General features: G+C 42.3%; 1 protein-coding gene across 3 annotated transcripts in view, besides 1 other annotated feature; it reads right to left on the bottom strand.

The window, feature by feature from the left end:
* Window positions 1-23,308, bottom strand: part of ATXN1 (ataxin 1) — a 462,349-nt gene that overhangs the window by 76,224 nt on the left and 362,817 nt on the right. The gene's annotated exons all lie outside the window — the stretch shown is intronic.
* Window positions 11,768-11,981: a silencer, noted in NCBI's record as "fragment chr6:16387334-16387547 (GRCh37/hg19 assembly coordinates)". NCBI's record gives its function as "represses an EF-1alpha promoter that drives an FKBP-Casp9 reporter gene in an ReSE screen in HepG2 liver carcinoma cells {active_cell/tissue: HepG2}" and the evidence as "EXISTENCE:reporter gene assay evidence [ECO:0000049][PMID:32094911]".

The following is a 23,308-nucleotide window of genomic DNA, read 5'->3' on the forward strand; positions in this document are numbered from 1 at the left end:
AGCTCTGTTACTTAGAATCCAAAGCAAATATCATCAGGACAAGTGTCTCTGAGGAAACAGCTGTCAACAACTCTGCAATTCCTTTATCCACTACATGCTAACACCCATCCTGAGCCCAGCGAATGTCCTTCTATGCCTGGTTACAAAGATTGGGGCATTACAAAAATTCATCATTCCCCCTTCTCTCACCCTGATAATCACAGTAGTTTCTGGGGGACCTAGATGGAACCCTTTATTAAATTTTGGAACATGAGAAAGGCTGGGTGGTACCCACTTGTCATTTGTAAGTGAGTGCTGGATAATTTCCATCAGACCACAATGCTTGTATCTTTATTTTTTTTTTTCCTGCTCATTGCCTTCCTATGATACTAATTTAAGAGTTCTTTCAAACCCAAATTTAGCTCTGTGTGCCCACCTAGATTGCTCTGGGAATTGAAATAGTCCAAGCTATTTGCTTTGGAAAATATACTCCATTGTGAATGAAAGGCCTATGGCCAAGGTGTTTCCTTCTGGCACAAGAAAAGAGAAAAGACAGAACAGGGAAGGGGCAGGGGGAAGTCTGATAAAAATGGACTATCTGTTCAATTACCTACAGATTTCCCACTGGGCTTTACTTTAGAAAGTTGTACAGGTTAATGCTATCCACAAGCCCTGGGCACTGGTGCCCCATGGCACAGCTGCCTGCGGGATGGCACATGGTACACTAATAGCACACTTATTATTAGATTTTCTGCATGGTTACATAAGCCTACAAAAGGGAAAAATGTAAATGATTCAAGAAGATATTCTTCATGCGGTTCTCATGAAATCTTTAATATCTTAAGACTTAGGAAGAACTCTCCTGGCAAGATACGATCAATTTTCATGCTTCATTAGGAAAAAAGCCCTTTCAGTAATGTTACAGAAATGGCTATAGGCAAAAGAGAGAAAAAAATTACACTCTGGACTGAACAAAACCCCAAGGCACTTTGGACTAAATCCTTTCTTTGTACCCACAGCATATCTGAAAGGAGAAGCAATGCTCACTTGGGGTGTGTGGGGATTGTATTTTGACTAGCCTGTCTACCCACAGAATTTCATTTAATCTAGGTGGAGTTGTTATCAATCTGTTTAGTCTTTCACAAATTTGAAGGGACTGTAGCTTAAACCAACAATCACCCTCAAAGCATTGCAATGATATGAAGGAAACAGCTGACATGGGGCCTGTGGAGGTGGGAAAATGGTGGATTGGAGAGAGGCCATATACACTTGAATTTCTGCAAAGGCAGAGGCAAATTATGTCACCTTCCCGCTTTCCTTTTCATTTAAAATCTACAGCTTTTCAAGACAATTTCCCTTTATTTCAGGAGAATCGAGAATACAAAAATAAATGTCTTAAGCACATCATTTACATTATTTTTTTCTGACACTTGAATAGTTGACAAACTCTGAAATCACTTCTTTTAAACCTAATGTTGATACCAAATTCTACTTTTTGGACTCAAAAAAACAGTCTTTAGAATTGTTCAATTTAAAAGCCTTGTCATACTGTAGTTATATATACTCAAGGAAGTTATTGTATGCAGAGAGCTGCAGACATTCTTGAAAGGTAAGGAGTATACAAAGATATAACCTGCAGGAACCTAGCAATCTAGCTTCAAAATGGTTTCATTCATTCATTCATTCACACGAGCACTTCCATCAATTTACTTTCAGTATCCCTCATATATGGGATTAGTGCCCATCTATAAGGGACCCCAGAGAGCGACCTTGCTCCTTCCACCATGTGAGGACACACCAAGAAGGTGTCATCTATGAACCAAAAAAATCAAACCTCACCAAATCCTGAAGCTGCTGGCACCTTGATCTTGGACTTCCCAGCCACCAGCACTGTGAGAAATGTATTTCTGTTGTTTATAAGTTTACGGTATTTTGCTTAGCAGTCCAAATGGACTAAGACACTGCCAAAAGCCAAAAATACATCCACCTCAAAGGAAGAAAAGTTTGAAACCATTCAACTGGAGTGAATGTGGCACACTCTTGTTCTCTGCCTGGGAGAACAAGTCAGCTGATATGAGCCTGCTTTTCTGTGTGAAGAATGTACAGAGTTTGAAAAGATCCTTCTTCTTCCCTCATCCTTCCCATTGCTGTGCACCTTCATGGGTCATACAGGTTATATGAGGGTCCGGAGGGTCAGAGCTGAACAGGCTACAGCCGCTGTTCACCAAGAGCCCATGGTCTCGCGGGGAGACAGACACCAAGAAACCATCACAGCTCACTGGGATTAGTGCTCCACTGGGGGTAGCTGAATGGTGCTCTAAGAGCAGAGAGGAACAAGACTATCTCTGTACGCCTGTGTGCACAGGAGCGGGTGGTGTGAGGTGGCTGCTGACAGGAATGTGGCACAGAGAAGACAAGATGTAAGCTGAATCCTGAAAGATGAGCAAAGCAGTTACCAAAGACAGAAGGGCAGCATTTGCATAAACGCTGAAAAATGCTTGTAAAACTATGGCGGCATAGCATAAGCACACGCAGTGTTTGGGAGAATGGCCAGTGATTTGCTAAGGCTCCACCAGGTCTTTCAGGGTTAGAACAGAGCATCATCACACATAACAGCACGTGTATGTAATATGACAAGCAATTGAGCTCCATTTGGGAAACTAGAGCTCTAAGCGCCTTCTGCCTACTTCATGGCAAGGAGGGCCATCTCGGGCACCACCAGCCCTCTATGGCAGCCATGGGGCTCGTTCATATCCTCCTGGCCCACCACAACCTGTGTGCAGGTACTCAGGCCACACTGCTTCCCTTTGTCTATGCCAGGTGGCCTTATTCTTCAAAGCTCTGGCCAAGTTCTAATTCTTGCACGTGCCTTACTTGCTAACTCCTACCCAGCAACTCAGAACATTAACTGATTGTACCACTCCCCTGGTCTGTCCTAACTCAGATACTGCCTTGTGTCATAAAAGCAACATACCTTAGATTTAGATACCATGCTATGACTTACCAAGCACTTTATAATATACATTATACCCTTAATATCCCCAGTAATTCTTTCAGATAGGCGTTAGGCCCACTTTTTAGATCAGTAAACTCAGGCTCATGTAGGTTAAGGGAAGTTCCCAGGAGCACAGAATATGTAACTTGTGGAGCCAGGACTAGAAAACAAATCTACAGATTCTATGAACAGTGCTCTTCCATTACACCACTGGGCCCCTCTCTTGACTTTATTTATTTATTTATTTATTTATTTATTTATTTATTTAGAGACAGGGTCTCACTCTGTCACCGAGGCTGGAGTGCAGTGGTGCAATCACGGCTCACCGCAGCCTTGACTGCCCTGGCTGAAATATCCTCCCACCTCAGCCTCCTGAGTAGCTGGGACTACAGGTGCACACCACCACCCCTGGCTAATTTTTTAACTTTTTTGTAAAGACAAAGTCTCACTATATTTCCCAGGCTGGTCTCAAACTCCTGGGTTCAAGCAGTCCTCCCACCTCAGCTTCCCAAAATGCTGGGAGTATAGGCATGAGCACAGTGCCCAGACCTCCTCTTGACTTATTAAGTTATTATGATGCCGATTCAGCAAGCCCACTACTGGGTATCTACCCAGAGGAAAATAAGTCATTATTCGAAAAAGATACTTGCACACGCATGTTTATAGCAGCACAATTCACAATTGCAAAATCATGGAACCAACCCAAATGCCCATCAATTGAGTGGATAAAGGAACTGTGGTACATATATATGATGGAATACTACTCAGCCATAAAAAGGAATGAATTAACAGCATTTGCAGTGACCTGGATGAGATTGGAGACTATTATTCTAAGTGAAGTAACTCAAGAATGGAAAACCAAACATCATATGTTCTCACTGATATGTGAGAGCTAAGCTATGAGGATGCAAAGGCATAAGAATGATACAGCGGACTTTGGGCACTTAGGGGGAAGAGTGGGAGTGGGGAGAGGGATAAAAGACTGCAAATATGGTGCAGTGTATACTGCTCAGGTGATGGGTGCACCAAAATCTCACAAATCGCCACTAAAGAACTTATGTAACCAAATACCACCTGTATCCCAATAACTTACGGAAAAATAAAATAAAAATTTTAAGAAGTTATTATTATGCCACTTATTTTGAATAAGTACACGTTTTACCCTTGTGATGCAACGCAACTGAAGAATGACCTACTATCAATTCTATTCCTTTGTGTCCTCCATGACACTCTAGAACAGTGCTATGCAAGCAGAAAGTAACAGCTTATTCATTCATTCATTCAATAACCATACACTGAACATCCAGGAAGTGCTAACCAGGTACTGCACTAGGTATTAGGGAAACAGAGATGAGTAAAATTCAGTTGAGACTCCATGTCTTGTTGGGAACCAGGCACGTGTAGAGGTCACTCTTACGCAGGTAATAAATGACTCTACAGAGGCATCAGCAAGACGCTGGAAGGAGAAATAAGTCAGCAGCAACTCACTCTGCAAAGAAGTGTACAGGAAGCTCTAGATGGGTCATTTTTGAACATATCCTCAAGATGAGTTTTGAAAGGATAAACTCAATAAGTGGCTTAAAAAGTAAGAAAAGAGGAAGGAAAGGAAAACAAGAAAGAAGGAACAAAATAGGAAACTTAGGTGGGTCCACATGGACTGTACACATCCACCCAGCAGGCTATAGAATGTTTCTCTCCCAAGGGCAATGAATTGGTTTAGCCACAGGATTTTCTTCAAAGGAGGTCCTCAACATGCCAGCGGGTACTTCCCTGATTTTGGTCAGGATGCAATCCAGGTGTACATCACTGGCTTGTGACATCTGTAATCTGCCCAGATCACAGATGCGCAGAAACAAGGCATCAGATTCCCTCTGCTTAGAACAGAAGCCAGGAGAAGGGGCTGAATACATGCATCTTTAAGATTCATACCCACGGAACAGAGACTCTCCTAGTCATCTGTTCACAAACTTTCAGTGAGTGTCTACTATATGCCAGGCAGACCACAGTGCAAAAAATTAAGCTTAATAACCCTTAAATATCATTCTCTGGTTCCAGGCCTCTTCAGAAGCTTGGCTATTTATTATCTAATATTCTTGTGAGTTCCTGTGTCTGGATTTCTGTGTTTAGGCTCTTTTAGGGAGATAGTAAGGAACTGGCATCCATGTGACTTTTTTTTTTTTTTAAAAGCCTTCTCTGCCTGAAAATGCCAGACACATTTCAGATGTCAAAACTAACGTGGCATTCAGGGTGGGTGACTGATCCATGTGAGTGCTCTTAAGTGGGTGTAGAAGCCTGTCTGGCTCATTGTCTTTTCTGCACACGCGCATTCAAATGTGCACAGGCTTGTAGGCCATAAATAGCTCTTAGGGGAGTGTGAGATTACATCACAGACTCAAGAGGGCCCCGTTACCTCAAATCAGTGAATGCTTGACACTCATCTCCCCAAAAAGGCATGCTGTTGAAAATGCAGATACTAGACTCACCCTGACCCCCAAAAAACTACCACTGGCAGGCATTGTTATGGGCTGAATTCTGTCCCTCCAAATTTATATATTGACATCCTGACCCCTAATACCTCTGAATGTGAACTTACTTGGAAATAGGGTTGTTGCAGATATAATTAGTTAAGATGAGGTCATCCTGGAGGAGAGGGGTTCCTAATCTGACAGAACTGGTGTCCTTGTGAAAAGGGGAAATGTGGGCTGGGCGCGGTGGCTCACGCCTGTAATCCCAGCACTTTGGGAGGTCGAGGCAGGCGGATCATGAGGTCAGGAGTTCGAGACCAGTCTAGCCAACATGGTGAAACCCTGTCTCTACTATTACAAAAATTAGCCTGGCGTGGTGGCGGGCGCCTATAATTCCAGCTACTCGGGAGAATGAGGGAGGAGAATCTCTTGAACCTGGGAGGCAGAGGTTGCAGTAAGTGAGATCGCACCACTGCACCCCAGCCTGGGTGACAGAGCAAGACTCCATCATGAAAAAAAAAGGGGGAAATGTGGACTCAGGCACACAGGCAGAGTGCTCTGTGAGGACTGGAGTGACAGAGCCACATGCTAAGGAGCCACCAGAAGCTAGGGAGTGACCTGGAACAGATCCTTCCCGAGCATCTTCACAGGGAGCATGGCCCTGCCCACACCTTGATCTCTGACTTCCAGGCCCCCCAGCTGTGAGACACTCAATGTCTGTTAAGTCACCCAGTTTCTGGCACTTTGTAATGGCAGCCCTGGAAAAATATTACAGGCATATAATGCCGTTTGTGTGTGAAGGAATGACTTCATCATCCAGTGGCTGGAATTTAATTATGATGTGATGCTATCAACAACATTCACTTCCTCTTCACATATATTGTGCCCCTCACCTGACTGCAAAATTCCCATTGCAAGTTAAGACAGGTGCCTTACACAGTGACCTGAGCTGCCTCTCTTCCAGAAGGGACAACTCTGCCAGTCAGGTTATCCACAGTGAACATTACAGCAGACTCCACTATTTCTCAGGTATCTACGTTTGGTAGATACTTCTCCTGCTCCTTGAGAAGTCCCCAGTGGTCAGTCATGGAGAGTTATTATTAAAGTACCCAATCTAAGAGCCACTGACGTTTCTATACTGATGTATGTCTACATTTATAGATTTAGACATGGAGTTATACAGAATGAAAGTTTATTCAAATAGATAAAAACATCCCAAATTGAAGTTCCACTAACTAGTAATTGGCTATTAGTAATTCTACCCAAAACAAATTAATAATTCATTTGGGCCAGGCCTGGTGGCTTATGGCTCTAATCTCAGCACTTTGGGAGGCCAAGGCAGGAGGATCCCTTGAGGCCAGGAGTTTAAGACCAGCCTGGGCAACATAGCAAGACCCCATCTATACAAGAAGCTTAAAAAAATAGCCAGGCAGGAGAATGGTGTGAACCTGGGAGGCGGAGCTTGCAGTGAGCTGGGATCACACTACTGCACTCCAGCCTGGGCAACAGAGCGAGATTCCATCTCAAAAAAAAAAAAAAATACCCAGGTACGGTGGTGTGCACTTATAGTCCCAGCAACTTGGGAGGCTGAGGTGGAAGCATCACTTGGGCCCAGAAGTTTGAGGATGCAGTGAGCTATGATCGTGCCAGTGCTCTCCAGCCTGGGTGACAAGAGTGAGACTCTCTCCCTAAAGAAAAGAAAAAGAATTCCCTTGGAAGGTTTTGCTTTTTTAGAAATAAGATTAGCTAAGAAAATTAATAATGCAAAGAAGTTAGGGGTGGGTGGGGTGAGAGAACAGGAATATTTAAACTATTTTTTTAAATCCAAAATTGTTTTAAAATAGTTTATCCCATTTCCATTCCTCCATAACAATGAAGATGCTGACTTTCAACGTCTGTTACTGTAGCCTAGGTAGAGTGAAGGGTGGTCATCCAAGACTCACATCTAGAGCAGGGGTGTCCAATCTTTTGGCTTCCCTGGGCCACACTGGAAGGAGAAAAATTGTCTTGGGCTGCACATAAAAGACACTATCACTAATGACAGCTGATGAGCTAAAAAAAAAATAAATAAACTTGCAAGTCTTGGCCAAGTGTTCCTGGGAAGGCCTGGATGGCAGAGGTGAATGGGAGGGGGGGAGTGGGGAGGGTGGAAGTGGGGAGTAGGGAGCATGGCACCATGCTCAGAAAGACTCCCTGAAAGCCTTGTTACTCCTCTCTGTCCCAAGTTCCCTTTTCCCAGGACGATTGCTCTTCCTCCCATCTCGCCCTCCTCTCTTACAGGTCCCTATAATGGCTGTTCTTATGTTCCCCACTCCCTACCCCGCACCATATCTTCTCTTAAGGAGGAATTTGGCCTAATCTAAGTTTAATCATTGACCTTTCTGACCTCACAAGGAATAGCAAGCTAAATAAGCACAGAACTTGTCCTCCTTAGATGGTGAGGAAAGAGAATTGTAAATGTTTATGACTTGCTATATTTTTCTTTAATTCATGGAACATTTTATATTAATGTAAAAAGAACTGGGAGGACTGTTGGGAATACTCTGTCATACCAGCATCATTCCACTTGAGCCCTTTATGCTATAATATTAAATGTAGTTATATATTTCCTATTTTCCTTCTTTTCAAACTATAAAACTTAGTCTTTCACGTAATGGGAGAGGCGATAGAATATGGTGCTTATGGTAAATGCTCAATATATTTATCTATTATTAATGATAATACTGGATTTATACTGAAATAATTCACCACTTATTAAAACACAATTCTTAAAATATAAGTTGCCCTTCCCCACCACACACACTTTTCTGTTTGTGGTCATTAGATCATGCTACTAACGGCTTTGCCTAAACAATTTATTCATTTAACATCTACACACCAGGCACCCAGCTAGTCTGGGGACAAAAACGGGTAAGACAGCATCTTTTCTGCCCCAAAGGGATGATGGAATGGAGGAACGAGGACATTACTTTGACATGGGGCACTCCTTTGGCCAATGAAGTAAAGGTCAGTGAGTGAACACACAAAGAAATGATTAACCTGTCATAGAAAAGGTCATGAATGTAGTGCCAGCTACAGGATACTTCACTTTGCTCTCATGAGATTTGGTCAGTAAAGGAATTATCCGTGTAAAGAGAAAATCAGGAGCAACCTTGCCAGCCTGTGAACAAAAGACTAGCCAATGCCACTTCTTACCAGCAAGGTCCAAACAGTCATGCCAAGGTTATGTGGGGTATGTAGAATGTGTTCTCTCTGTACCCTGTCTTGAATTCTATTTTGCACATCCAGGAAAGCCAAGAAACGCATGCACCTGATTGCAACATATATAGTCATATTTTGATACCACAGTTTGGATGGCAAGATTATTCAATCCTTTTTCCTATCAGAGAGCTTCATCTGTTTTCTCTGACTTCTCCATGGATCCACAACAGTCAATGCTTTAAAAAATACTCAGGACATGGACCAATACAAAAATAAAGGTAATCGTGATTAAACAACTGAACATGGAATAAGGCCACAGAAGGTTCTCTAAAAAGAGTATCTGACCTTGCTCAGACTGGTGTGACCATGAGATATGAGATGGAACAAATGGCACAGATAGCAAGGAATGCAGGTGTGTGGTATCTCTTCATATTCATTCCCACTTCAGTTCAGCCTAACACTTCATTCACCAAATGAGTGATCACCAACTGCCTACTATGCATCAGACATATAAAACAGAAGATCTAAAAGACACAGTTCCTGTTCTCAAGGAGCTCCATTGATATGGTTGGCATTTGTGTCCCCACCCAAATCTCATGTCAAATTGTAATCCCCAGTGTTTGGAGGAAGGGCCTGGTGGGAGATGACTGGATCACGGGCTTAGATTTCTCCCTCTCTGTTCTCATGATAGTGAGTTCTCATGAGATCTGGTTGTTTAAAAGTGTGTAGCACCTCCCCTTTCCCTTCCTCCTGCTCCAGCCACGTAGGACGTGCTGGCTTCCCCTTCTCCTTCTGCCATGATTGTAAGTTTCCTGAGGCCTCCCCAGCCATGTTTCCTGTACAGCCTGTGGAAACATGAGCCAATTAAACCTCTTTTCTTTACACATTATCCAGTCTCAGGTAGTTCTCATAGCAATGTGAGAAGAGACTAATACATCTGTATCCAGTGTGCAGAGATGGTCAAGAGAACAGACACTAAAAATCTTACATATGAGTTTCATGGGTGGGAAGCACAGAGTGGCTCAGTGAGACCAGGAGGGAAAAGTTAGGGTGGGCTCCTTGGAGCTGATGGCAGGGTTGAGTTTTGAAGAGTACACAGGAATGTGTGACTGCATGTGATGTGAGAGGGAACATTGTCTAGACAGAGGAGGGAGCTCATGCAGAGTCACATAAGGGGACATGCCACATTCAGGGAAGCACAAGTATGGCATGCCAGGAGGGGAGGAAGGAGGTAACGAGTGCCCTTCTCTCCCCAAGATATCTCTTGAAGGTATGGAGAATCTCAGAAGGGTTAGGCAGGAACATTTTTTGATTAAAAATGTCACTCTGGTCATAGAGTAGAAGATGGATGAGAAGGGACCAGGTTCTACAGGCAAGGCAAACAGTCGGGAGGAACTTGCTGCAATGCCACTGAGCTGTCATCAGGTTTGGCCTGCTGCAGGGGCAGTAAGCATGGAGAAGAGGAGGCGGACAGGGGAGATGTCCCAGGCAGACTCAGCACCAAGGCTGCTGAATGGCTGGGCAGGGGCACATGGAGGAACAGCATAGGGGCTTCTGGCTTGGCTAGTGCCATTTGCACAAGAGATATGGGAGAAATCATGGTCTAGCTCCTTTCTAACTCAGTGCCTTAATTTCTCGTTTTACTTCTAGGATAAAGTTTAAAATCTCTAACTTGACGCTGAAAGTTCTCTACAATCCCCCTACATGCAGTAGGTACTCGATACATACCAGTTGATTCAACAACTGAAACAAACACACAAAAATAACTTTCTCTATCTAACATATCAATATTTTTCTGATTACAGGTTTGGCTTACTACTTTGCCTTTGTGAAAGAAGAGAAATAGCTTGCAACTTATTCAAAGAATAAGATAAGTGCAAACATTTTTCTGATAACGTGCTAATCTCAAACACATTTTCTCTCCTGATACAGGGCTACAGTGTGTTCATCTGATTATCACCAACAATCATTCCTAATCATTCCTATCTTACTCTGGGTTAGGGTCTCTGTCCTCTCCTTCACCCTTAAGGCTATTAGTCTTCACGATAAAAAATTTCTAGGTAGAGATAGATGCTTGGGGTTCTAAAAGAGCAAGTGGTAATCCTCACATACGATGACACATTCCAGCCTCTAAAGCAGTCTGCATTACAGGATCATTATTATTTTTTCCAGCAAAGAAGCCACAATTCAGGAATCTATGCAAAAATAATTAAGTGAAGGTTGCTCCATCAAGTTTCCATCAATCACTCCTCCTTGCCATTCTGCCCTTCCTGAGATGACAACATGTCAGCTGCTTTGAACAAGATCTACATCGCGTTCTCTGCATTGCACTTGCTGCTGCTTTGTAGTCTGCTGGGTAGTGGTGACAGCGCGTTAACCATAAAAAAATGGGGAGTTCAGGACTGGAGGGGGCTGAGAACATTTTAACATATTTGCAAAGGCACAAGATTGTAAGAATAGTTATGCTGAGAACTTAAACTTTTGCTTTCAGATCAGACTGAACTCTTAACACTTTTACATGAAAGAAATGCAAGGAGAAACCTATGATAAAACCAATACATTAACATATGTGGATATCGTGTGCCTCTAGAAAGTCAGGAGAGCAAATGTGGGAGCTCCTTGAGTTATTCTGATCTGCTGCACAAGGCCACCAGGGCTGGGTCTCTGACACTGATAACAGGTCTCTGGTGAAGGACCTTGTGTAAAGAGTATAATGGTAACAAAAATAAAAGAAATGAAGAAACGCATATTAGGACTAAAAGATGTACATAGAGAGAAATGAGCGTAACTCCTTGGGCTCATAGGCTGAATGCCTCTGAACATGAACAGGATGTTACTCCTTCAAATCACTTTTTAAAAATATTTTGATTATTTTTAAAGGAGACGGGGTTTCACTATGTTGCCCAGGCTGGTCTCAAACTCCTGGGCTCAAGCAATCTGCCTGCCTCAGCCTCCCAAAGTGCTAGGATTACAGGCGTGAACTACCGTGCCCAGCCTCCCCTATATCATTTTTACTCCCAGGGCTACTATTTCTTTGAGGACAAGGACTGTGTCTTAGTCATTGTAGTATGATGCGTCTAATAGTACCTGACACATAGCAGATGCTTAGTGCATGTTAGCTTGTTAAATACATGCATCTGGCACAAGGGATCAAGCAAATCTCTGAATGACAGATTGACTAGGAAGAGCGGGAGATCAATGACTCAATGGTGGTCACGGATCAGCACTCTCAACTAACCATGAGAACCCGGATGAAGTAGAAGCTAGGTTAAGCTGATCTTTTCCCCTCCTCATTAAATTGCCATTGCTCCCTATAGGGTCATCAGAAAGCCTGGATATGGCCCCTGTGGAGGCACCACATATCTCTGAATGCTGAGTAAAACAGATAATGTAGAGAGACATGAACTTCTTCACTGAAAGTTCACTGTGGAAGACCTCTCCATCAGCCACTGAGAGGGAGGTGGTGCCCTGCTACTTGGGTACAGAAGTCAAACTCAGACTATGCTTGCTCGTGATTCTCAAACAAGGCAGGGGTTACCCTCCCAGGGACATCTGAAAAGGAGTGGGGCCATTCTGAATCCTTAAAACAACTTGGAAACATTGTTGGGATGAGTAGGTAGGGATGAACCGGGAGTGCTTGTTGTGTTGTCATGAGCGGGAGAGCTCTGCATAGCAGAGGGCCGTCCTGCCTGCTTCGTTATGAAACACTGCAACTTTAACGAAACACTCTCTAGAACAGATAGCATTGTCTTAGGGTTCTTCTGTATTTAATTCTTCCTTCCACATAAAATATCGAATCAGGCTATCAGATATCTCCTGTCAAAAATATAATACCTGAGGATATCTGCAATAATTTTAATAGTTACCATTGACCAAACATCCACTACATGCCAGGTAGTGTACAATACACAACTAAATCTTAACAACAACAACAATGAATTTAGTGGATACTTTTTAAAACTCCCAATTGCATAAATTCAGCCAGAGAGGAAAAAAGCAACTAATCTAAGCAACTTACCAGTCAGTGGAGGAGCCAAGATGTGAATCCAGGTTCCTCCGACCCCAAGTCCATAGATGTGATCATTAAACGACAATCTTGGTTTTCATGATGGCCAATAACCCAAAGCCTACTATGCACAGGGGAGTGTGAAGATCCCGAGAAGCCGGGGCAGAGCCTTGACCACTGACAGTCTCTTAACCAAAGAATCTGCAGTCACGGTGAAAGGGGCTGCAGGTCCCATGCAATGCTGTCAGCTGCAGGCCTGGGAAGAGTTCCATCAGCAGTAATGATGAACAGCTTATTATGTGTATCTATCTCACTGCCTTCTTGACAGGATCTCTGCTACCAAAATACAGAACTTTCCTGAGAGTGATTCTTCACATAAAAACACATGAAATTCCTCAAAAAAACTGAGGATCAAGTGGTGGTTTCTCTGAGTAGCACTAGATTGTCTGCTTCCATCAGACATATGGACTCTCCTAAGACCCGGGAAGACCACAGGCAGGTATGCTTTTGAAATAAGGATGCAGGAGAAATTCTGCTACGTCAAATAAAGTGTATTAGATTAGGTCTAGTATTTATCTTCTAAAGGAAGTCTGCTGTCCTCACAGTTGGGAACTTCACATGTGATTTCTATCAGCATTTTATGGACCATATCAGAAAGCTGGCATGATTCAATAAGATTCAGAAAAGATGAGACCCCAGGAGGTCATGAGTGCTAACCACAGCCCAGCTAGTGGAATGCTATGTGACCTTTAGTGACTTGTTTTAACATTCTCATGCCTCTGCTCATGGGTTACTGAACTTTTCTAATCCAAGGGTCTCTGCATCCTACAGTCTGTAAAGCTAATTCATAGGCTTGCTGCAAAGATAAATACTGCTTTAGATTCAAGTAAGCTCTGGATATGACTGTAAGAAATATATAATTATCATTATTTAAAAAAAATAGAACAAGAGACTTTCTATTTTACTTTGTTTATACTGCCCTCCTGACCAATGCTGTCTTCATTTACTTAATTACCATCCATCATCCTTGTCTTTTCCTGAGCACTATGTGCCTAAATTAAAAAGATGATAGTGGCCCGGCGTGGTGGCTCACGCCTGTAATCCCAGCACTTTGGGAGGCCAAGGCGGGCAGATCACGAGGTGAGGAGTTCGAGAGACCAGCCTGACCAACATGGTGAAACCTCGTCTGTACTAAAAGTACAAAAATTAGCCGGGCGTGGTGGCACGCGCCTGTCATCTCAGCTACTCGGGAGGCTGAGGCAGGAGAATCGCTTGAACCCGGGAGGCGGAGGTTGTAGTGAGTGGAGATGGCGCCACTGCACTCCAGCCTGAGTGACAGAGCGAGACTCCATCTCCAAAAAAAAAGAAAAAAAAAAAAGGAAAGAAAAAGATGATAGCATCCCTTGGTAGCAAATATACACGGAAAATTTCCATGTGGTTTATGCAGTTCTAAAAGAAAGCGACAGATATTGCATTTACTGTAGACCCACTTCCCAATTTCATTTGACTTCCTTTTGCCTTGAGAGTCCTTAATTTTCTTGTCTTCTTTAGGCTGTAAGACTACTGAATGAATGAAGGGGAGGCAGCAGTAGTCTTGGTTTCTGAACTTATCGACAATCCTTTCACTACAAGAACTACGCAGCAGATAAAAAGCGAGCATGTGACACACCTTCTGCTCATTTTCCTTCTGGAGGAAAAGAAAACATAGAAGCAAAATTGAAAAGGGTTAATGGAAAGCACTAACTAAACATTCAGGTGTACCCTGACTCACATAGGCACTGCAATCGTTCTATTTCAAATAAGTGGGACCAGCCCACAGGGCTCACAGGTTCATTGCACACAACTAAATGCTTAACCTGTTCCTTCCAACAGCAGGTGTCATGTGCAATGACATGACTAGCCCAGGATCAGTATTAAGAGTCCTGTGTACGTTCACCTTTTGTAAATCCTCTCACTGACTCACTGCACCAAGCTATGTTCTTGCTATTCATTTCCCAAAATTAGATTTCCTTACTGCAAGAAATACATACAGATTATTAATAGGCCTACTCCTTATTTTAAATATAAGGATAGTGAAGCTTGTTCAAGGTGACATAAAAAGTATCTGTAATGTCTGGCTAACACGAGCTTCCCAGGCTTTAAGTTAGCAGCTGGTCCCAAACTACAGACTCAAGTCCACCCTACTGCTACTAGTACTCTAACTGTGAGATCCTTGACCCATAGCTCTGTACTTGTTTTACTTCCCAAGAACTTCTGGCAATGGTAATTCTCACCTCTGAATGCTGATGTTTTTTCATTGCCATGTTTTCAGTATCTGTTGTCCTATCACCTTCCTGGCTAATCTTTATTACCCTCCATGCCCTGCATCTTGGGCCCCACTGAGAGCTTTGCTGGGAGTATGCATGCAAGCATCTTTCTCTCATACACTGCACTGCCTTTGGGATGCCTGAGTTCATACTATTTCCATAACTGCCCATCCCTGAAATAGATGAACAGTGGCCTTCTCTCTAGTTTAGAACTTGGGTTGTTAGACTCCTTGGGTCTATCTTAGCTTCTCTCCCTGTTTTCAGTTTGGATTTTCTACCTCCATTTGGCTTATCTATCTCTAGCGTCATATCTCCCTGATGATCCGTGGTAGTGGCGTTAATCCATTTACGAAAAACAAGACAACATAGATTCAAGGAGTCAAATAAACACATCACACACACACACACACACACACACACGCATGCACACAAGCAATGAAGATGGAACAGCAGAGAGTACACCAGACAAGAAGCCGTAAGTGTCGGTTCTAGTTCCAATTCCTCTCCACTGCAGCATCTCAGATGTAAACTGGCGTCAGTAACAGGTCCTGTCATCCACCTCCCAGGAAAATTGTCAAAGATAATAGTTATGGCCAGGCGTGGTGGCTCACGCCTGTAATCCCACCACTTTGGGAGGCCGAGGCAGGTGAACCATCTGAGGTTGGGAGTTTGAGATCAGCCTGGACAACATGGATAAACCCCATCTCTACTAAAAATATAAAAAATTAGCTGGGCGTAGGAGCACACGTCTGTAATCCCAGCTAATCAGGAGGCTGAGGCAGGAGAATCACATGAACCTGGGAGGCGGAGGTTGCAGTGAGCCGAGATTGCGTCACTGCACTCCAGCCTGGGTGACACAGCAAGACTCCATCTCAAAAAAAAAAAAAAAAAAAAAAAGTTATGAAGGTCTTCTGAAAACAAGAAAACACTATTCAGATGAAAACTATTATATTTATAGATTACTATTTTTTTTTAAAAAAAAGAAGCTCTTCTTTGAATTACCTATAATGCAACAGCAGCACCATCAAAATTGTGCACAATTCAATCAGAGGTTCTCAAACATGGCTGCCCATCAGAATCACCATTGTGCCTTTTAGGAAACACAGATTCTCAGACATTTGCAGTCTCTAATGGCCCTGGATTTTCTGGGCCAGTGCACAGGTAATGGTATTTTTTAAAAACATTTCCCCCAAGGGATTCTGATCAGTTAGGTTTGGGATCCACTTTCTAAAAATAACATGTTTCTCTGTGACGGAGGAAATTTAAGTATAACTATGATTCATGAATTTGTTATCTGTTTTTTTCTTCAGAGGATATCAGTTTAAGTGTTGGTTTTTAAACTGTAACTCTGAAGGCAAACAACTGGCAAGAGAGAGTTTTCAGGAAGAATGCTGGCTCTGGAAGGCAGCGGAAGGTTCTGGAAAAGCAATGTGTCCTATGAACTAGACTTTTCACCTGTAAGCATGGCAGGAAGAGGCTGTGCAAGGTGGTGGATGACTACAGGGCTTTGTTGTGGACTCCAGGCCTCTAATCCCTTTCAGTCTTTTTATTTCTCTGCCCTCAAAGCCCAGCAGCCTGGAGGGGAGAAGGCAGTGCCCTTGACTGCAGCCTGATGTTTCCTCCTGGCTTCTGGTGGCCTACGGTCTCCTTTACTGTAGGTTTCTGGAGCAAAAATCCAGCAGTCAGGTTACCAGGATCAGTGACAACTATGCAATAATTAGGGGCAGGCACCAGGAGGCAGAGAAACAGAGCTGGGTGGCAGAAACTCTATGATACCCCAAAGGAAACATCAACTCTTCTCAGAGGTGGTCAAGAACATGCCAGAAGCTTTGCCTGCCTGGTTGGCAGCAGAAATGGCACTAGCCAGTGATCACTCGTAACCTTGCTGCCTTCTTTACAGATGGCTGCTGTCAGGCTGTTTAATTTGGAGGAAATTCCAATGTCATCAGCAGAGACATGGCATTGGGGAGGGCTGCCAAGCACAAAGACAGAACTTGGCTTCCCCAGCTGATACCCATGGATACAGAAACAGGCTAGTCTTAACAATCTTTTAGACCTGACCTTAGTAGCAAACTGGATAACTGCCAGTCATAAAAGTGTTTCTAAAGTGGCCTGATTTTCTCCCCTCCTGTTAGGATCCTGGATGCTTGTAATGCTATTTATCAATGGTTATTTTGTGCTTACTGATGTGCAGACATTTTTTCCAACCCATTCTTTTTTTTTTTTGAGATGGAGTTTTGCTCTATAGCCCAGGTTGGAGTGAAGCGGTGTAATCTTGGCTCCCTGCAACCTCCGCCTTCTAGGTTCAAGCGATTCTCCTGCCTCAGCCTCCTGAGTAGCTGGGATTACAGGCGCCCGCCACCACACCTGGCTAATTTTTGTATTTTTAGTAGAGACAGGGTTTCATCATGTTAGGCAGGCTGGTCTCGAACTCCTGACCTCAGGTGATCCACCCGCTTTGGCCTCCCAAAGTGCTAGGACTAGAGGCATGAGCCATCGCACACGACCTCAACCATTCTTTATCTCTAAACTCACAAGACAGTGGTTCTCAAAGTGAGTCACCCAGGGAAAGCGGCATCATGATCACCTGTAAACTTGTTACAAATGCAAATTCTTGGGCTTTCCAGCAATCTGTGTTTGAACAAGTCCTCCAGGCAATGCCCATGCACTTGAAATTTGACAGTAACTCTCATAAGAGGTCACATGGCTCCCCTTAATGTAAACACACCAAAATGAAGTAAGAACCATTTTCTTTTAAGAAGTTTCAAGACCTTCAGACATTTTATTCGAGTAAATTCATAAGCAAAACACAAGCACATATTGACTTTTTTGCTTAATAAATATGATTTTCTCAGACCCACTAACAGATCACATGTTTCACCCACACAAAATAGTGTATGACTTACGAATGATCACAGAGAAGAATCACAGTGGCTTTTTAAATTTTTAATTTATTTTTATTTTATTGTATATATTTATTTTTTTTAGAGACAGGGTCTTTCTGGGTTACATCCATAGCTCACTGCAGCCTCAAACTCCTGGGCTCAAGCAATCCTCCCACATCAGCCTCCTGAGTAGCTAAGACTACAGAGATGTACAACCATACCCGGCTAATTTTTAAATTTTTTTGTAGAGAGGAGTTTTGCTTTTTTGCCCAGGCCGGTCTTGAATTCCTGACCTCAAGTGATCTTCCTACCTTGGCCTTCCAAAGTGTTGGAATTGTAGGTGTGAACCATCATGATGGTTCATAGTGAGTTGTTTAGTTTAAAATATGTGACTCTATCTCTACATTATTTGCCTACAAATATGTCTACCAAATTCATGACATATGACCAGTGTGTCTGAATACATACCAGTGTTTATGGCACTGACGTTTTAAGTCCTGTTCGGAAACACAAAATGCACTACTTAGCTTCCATATGTGACTAATTTTAAAATATGCTTTTTAGGCCAGACGCAGTGGCTCACACCTGTAATCCCAGCACTTTGGGAGGCCAAGGTGGGAGGATCACGAGGTCAGGAGTTCAAGACCAGTCTGGCCAACACAGTGAAATCTTGTCTGTATTACAATAAAGTGTAATACCTTTTCAACATGGGATTCTAACATGGAATCACCTTTTTTTTTTTTTTTTTGTAATTCGTGCCTCCCTCCCCTAGTTTTAACCTATGCTTGGTCCAAATATCATGGGTCTATGTTTCTGTGGTCTAAGACACTTCTTTAAGATAAGCCCGATGCCTAACACACATCTAGGAGTAAGTTAACAATTCTGAAATACTGGTTTCTTTGGCTTTTAGACCTGTTGATTGTTTTGGTTATAAAGGTCTGCCTTTAACATTTTTCCTTCTGTGTTCCTAACTAGGCCTCTGAGTCTCCACTGTCAAAATGTGGCTGATCAGACTTTAGGCAACCCTCACCTCAACCTGTGATTATGGAAGGAAGTACAGGACATCTTAACACTCCTTCCCGGTCACGTGCATCATGAATGAGCTAAAATTTCAATCTTTTGTTCTCCACCGGCCATTTTTTCCCGAACCCTTAAGGATAGATAGCCAGAAAAATAAATAAATAAATCTCTTCTTGGGAATATTTTCTAGAATGTTTTCATTTTAAAATTTAATTTCATTTTATTCCATTGTTAATTGACATCTGATAATTTCTTATATTTATGGGCTAGAGTATGATGTTTCAATACATGTATATATTGTGTAATGATCAATTCACGGTAATTAGCATATTTTTCACTTCAAACCTTTATCAGTTCTTTGTTATGAGAACATTCAAATTCCTCTTGTCTAGTTTTCTGCAGTCTTCTCTTAAGGACCAAAGAAGAAAATAAAAGACCCTATAAAATTCAGCTCTGTTTAAGTCCTATCTTTTAAGTAACTAAAAAGTTGAATACTAGCTCCAATAACTAGATCCATAAACCATTTTTCAATACTAATTTTCTTAGCCAAAGAGATATGCAGTAGAGAATGTGAGACCAAGAGTAGACAGCCAGTCCAAAGTCCACAGAAATAAAAATCCATTTATGACTGCATTTTCCACGCTGGCTTTCCAGGATGGTCCTGAACTTGCTAATTCATGGTATAACTTTGTACTGTAACACAGCCAAGGAGAAACAGTAGCATGTTGGAGCCAGGTCTGTGAGAGCTAACAGTTAAGCTTGACAGCCAAGCGTTCAACATAGCCAATGTTAAAAATTAACTTATATAAACTTATGGTTTAATAAATTATATTAAAAACTCCTGAGGCGAGGCGGATCACCCGAGATCGGGGAGTTCGAGACCAGTCGGACCAACATGGAGAAATCCCGTCTCTACTAAAAATACAAAATTAGCTGGGCATGGTGGCTCATGCCTGTAATCACACTACTCAGGAGGCTGAGGCAGGAGAATCACTTGAACCCGGGAGGTGGAGGTTGCGGTGAGCCAAGATTGCGCCATTGCATTCCAGCCTGGCCAACAAGAGCGAAACTCCGTCTCAAAAAAAAAAAAAAAAAAAAACAAGAACAAAAACAAAAACTCATCATCATCCCTCATTTTACTCTATTTTACTATTATCTGTATGACTGAGGTTAATTACATCTACTTGTATAGTGGATATAAAGTCATGCACCACATAACAACATTTGGGTCAGCCGCGGATTGCATATGTGACAGCGGTCACATAAGATTATAATGGAGCTGAAAATTTTCTACTGCCTACTGATGCTGTAGCTGTCCAATGTAATAGTGTAATACATTACTCATATGTTTGTGGTGATGCTGGTATATATAAACGTCCTGCAGTGCCAGTCCTATAAAAGTATAGCACATGCAATTACGCACAGTACATAATAGTTGATAGTGAAAATAAATGACTATGTTACTGGTTTGTGTATTTACGATACTATACTTTTTATTGTTATTTGAGAGTGGACTCTTTCTACCTATAAGAAATTAACTGTAGGCCGGGCGCAGTGGCTCATGCCTGTAATCCCAGCACTTTGGGAGGCCAAGGTGGGCAGATCACGAGGTCAGGAGATCGAGACCATCCTGGCCAACATGGTGAAACCCATCTCTACTAAAAATACAAAAATTAGCTGGGCATAGTGGCACGTGCCTGTAATCTCAGCTCTTCGGGTGGCTGAGGCAGAAGAATCACTTGAACCAGGGAGTCGGAGGTTGCAGTGAGCTGAGATTGTGCCACTGCACTCCAGCCTGGTGACAGAGCGAGACTCCGTCTCAAAAAAAAAAAAAAAAAAAAAAAAAAGCCAATTAACTGTAAACAGCCTCAGGCAGGTCCCTCTGGAGGTGTTCAAGAAGAAGGCATTGTTATCATCGCAGATGATGGCTCCATTCATGGTATTGCCTCTGAAGACCTTACAGATGGAAAAGATAAGGAGGTAGAAGACAGTGATACTGACCATCATGACCCTGTGTGGGGCTAGGCTAATGTATGTGTTTGTGTCTTAGTTTTTAACAGAAAACTTAAAAAAAAAAAACTTTTTTTAATAAGAAAAAGCTTATAAACTGGATGTGGTGGTGTACACCTGTAATCCCAGCATTTTGGGAGGCTGAGGCAGGAGGATGGCTTGAGCCCGGGTGCGCGAAACCAGCCTGGGCAACATAGTGAGACTTAGTTTCTACAAAAACAAGCTTATAGAATAAAGATATAAAGAAAGAAAATATTCTTGTACAGCTGTAAAATGTGTTTGTATTTTAAACTGAGTGCTATTATGAAAGTTATCAAAAAGTTTTTAAAAATTAAAAAGTTTATAAAGTAAAAAAGTAAGCTGAGCGTGGTTAATTTATTATCAAAGAAAGAACAATTTAAAAAACAAACTTAGTGTAGCCTAAGTGTACAGTCCTTATAAAGTCTACAGTGGGGTACAGTGATACAGTGATGTCCTAGGCCTTCACATTCACTCACCACCCACTCACTGACTCACCCAGAGCAACTTCCAGTCCTGCAAGCTCCATTCATGGTAAGTGCCCTATATAGGTGTGCCCTTTTAAAATCTTTTCTACTTCATTTTTACTGTACCTATTCTATGTCTAGATGCACAAAAACTATGTTTAGGAACATTGTGTTACAAGTGCCTACAGTATTCAGTACAGTAAGGTGCTGAGTGCTGTAGGCAATCGTAACCCTATGTCCAAGTTTGTATCCTAGGAGCAACAGGCTGCATTATATAGCTTAGATGTGTAGCAGGCTGTACCATCTAGGCTTGGGTGAACACACTTTATGATATTTGCAGAAGGACGATGTAAGGATGCATTTCTCAGAATGCATTCCCATTATTAAGTGATGCACGACTGTCCTATATGGTGGTGTGCTACTGTGCATCTCTTTACAATCTCATGGTTGGTAATGTCACATTGGTAGTTTGAAATTAGTCACAGTGAGAGTATTTATATTACAGAAATCAGTAAATGCTACAAATCAAACGTCCTGTTATTCCCGAGCCAGTAGCTAAACTTTTTGTTTTGTTTTTTGTTTTTTTGTTTTTTGTTTTTTTGAGATGAAGTCTCGTTCTGTCATCCAGGCTGGAGTGCAATGGCACGATCTTGGCTCACTGCAACCTCCACCTCCAAGTGATTCTCCTGCTTCAGCCTCCCGAGTAGCTGGAATTACAGGTGCCCACCACCATGCCCGGCTAGTATTTATATTTTTAGTAGAGATGGGGTTTCACTATGTTGGCCAGGCTGGTCTCAAACTCCTGACCTCAGGTGATCTGCCTGCCTCAGCCTCTCAAAGTGCCACTGTGCCCGGCCGCCAGTAGTAGCTAAACTTTTATCAGCACACTGCTGGTATCCATTCCAACTTTTTCTTAAGTGAAATAGAACTAGGGGAGAACAGTAGGAATAGTCAACTTTCCATGATTACATGTGCAGGTACATACCACCAAGCCATATGCCACCAAATCATTGCTGTCCAGAGTTTCCAACTAATCTATTGCTGATTTACTCCCTCTGTTTATCTGCTACTGAAATCAGTCTGACTCAGAAATGTAATTGTATGTGTGTTGGCAAGAACTCACACAAGAATACTATCTTCAAGAACAAAAACGCCACTGGATATTTGTATCATCCTTCACCACGGCCACAGAATTTGACGGATTACCTCATTAACTCCTCGCAACCATTGCTATGTTGAGTTTCATTGTCCCTGTTTGACAGGTGAGATTAGGTGATCTGTCCAAGGCCACATATCTAGTAAGTTGCATAGACAGGACTCAAATCCAGAAATCCAAATCTTGTATTCTTTAGACTTTACCACAGGTTATTGCTTTTATGCCAATCTGTCATGAAAATGGGACTTTTTTTTCAAAAGGTCAACATCTGGGCTCACTTCTCTCCTTCCTTTAGTTAGCAACGCAGCCAACTTTGAGGCACCCACATCTACGTTTACAAATACGAACTCCACCATCTAAGCTCCCTTCCTGCCCAAAGGCAGAAATTACATCCCCACTGCTGCAACGTCTTAGATAAATCAAATGCAAACACACTTCCACCTGAATTCCTAAAGATGTCCTAGGCAGGTGGGCATCATTAGGAAGTGTTTTATACTTTGTGTCTAAGTTATTCAAACCCAAAGAGAAGCCTAAGGCATCTAATTTAAATTCAAATAGAAGTAATCGTGAATAAAGAATCCAAGTTCTTGCACTTAATGGTGAAAATAATATATATGTATATGTGTATAGAGTTTATTTTACACACACACACATTTCATGAGGGGGAAAACAAACTATATACATACACATATACACGTATATATATGAACATGTGTGCACTCTCTATATACACATACATATGCACAAATACGTGTGTTTTGTGAGTGTGTATGTGTGTGTCTAGTTTGTTTTTCGCCTCC

The sequence above is a fragment of the Homo sapiens genome, chromosome 6 (assembly GCF_000001405.40).
Source record: "Homo sapiens chromosome 6, GRCh38.p14 Primary Assembly".
NCBI lineage: Eukaryota > Metazoa > Chordata > Mammalia > Primates > Hominidae > Homo > Homo sapiens.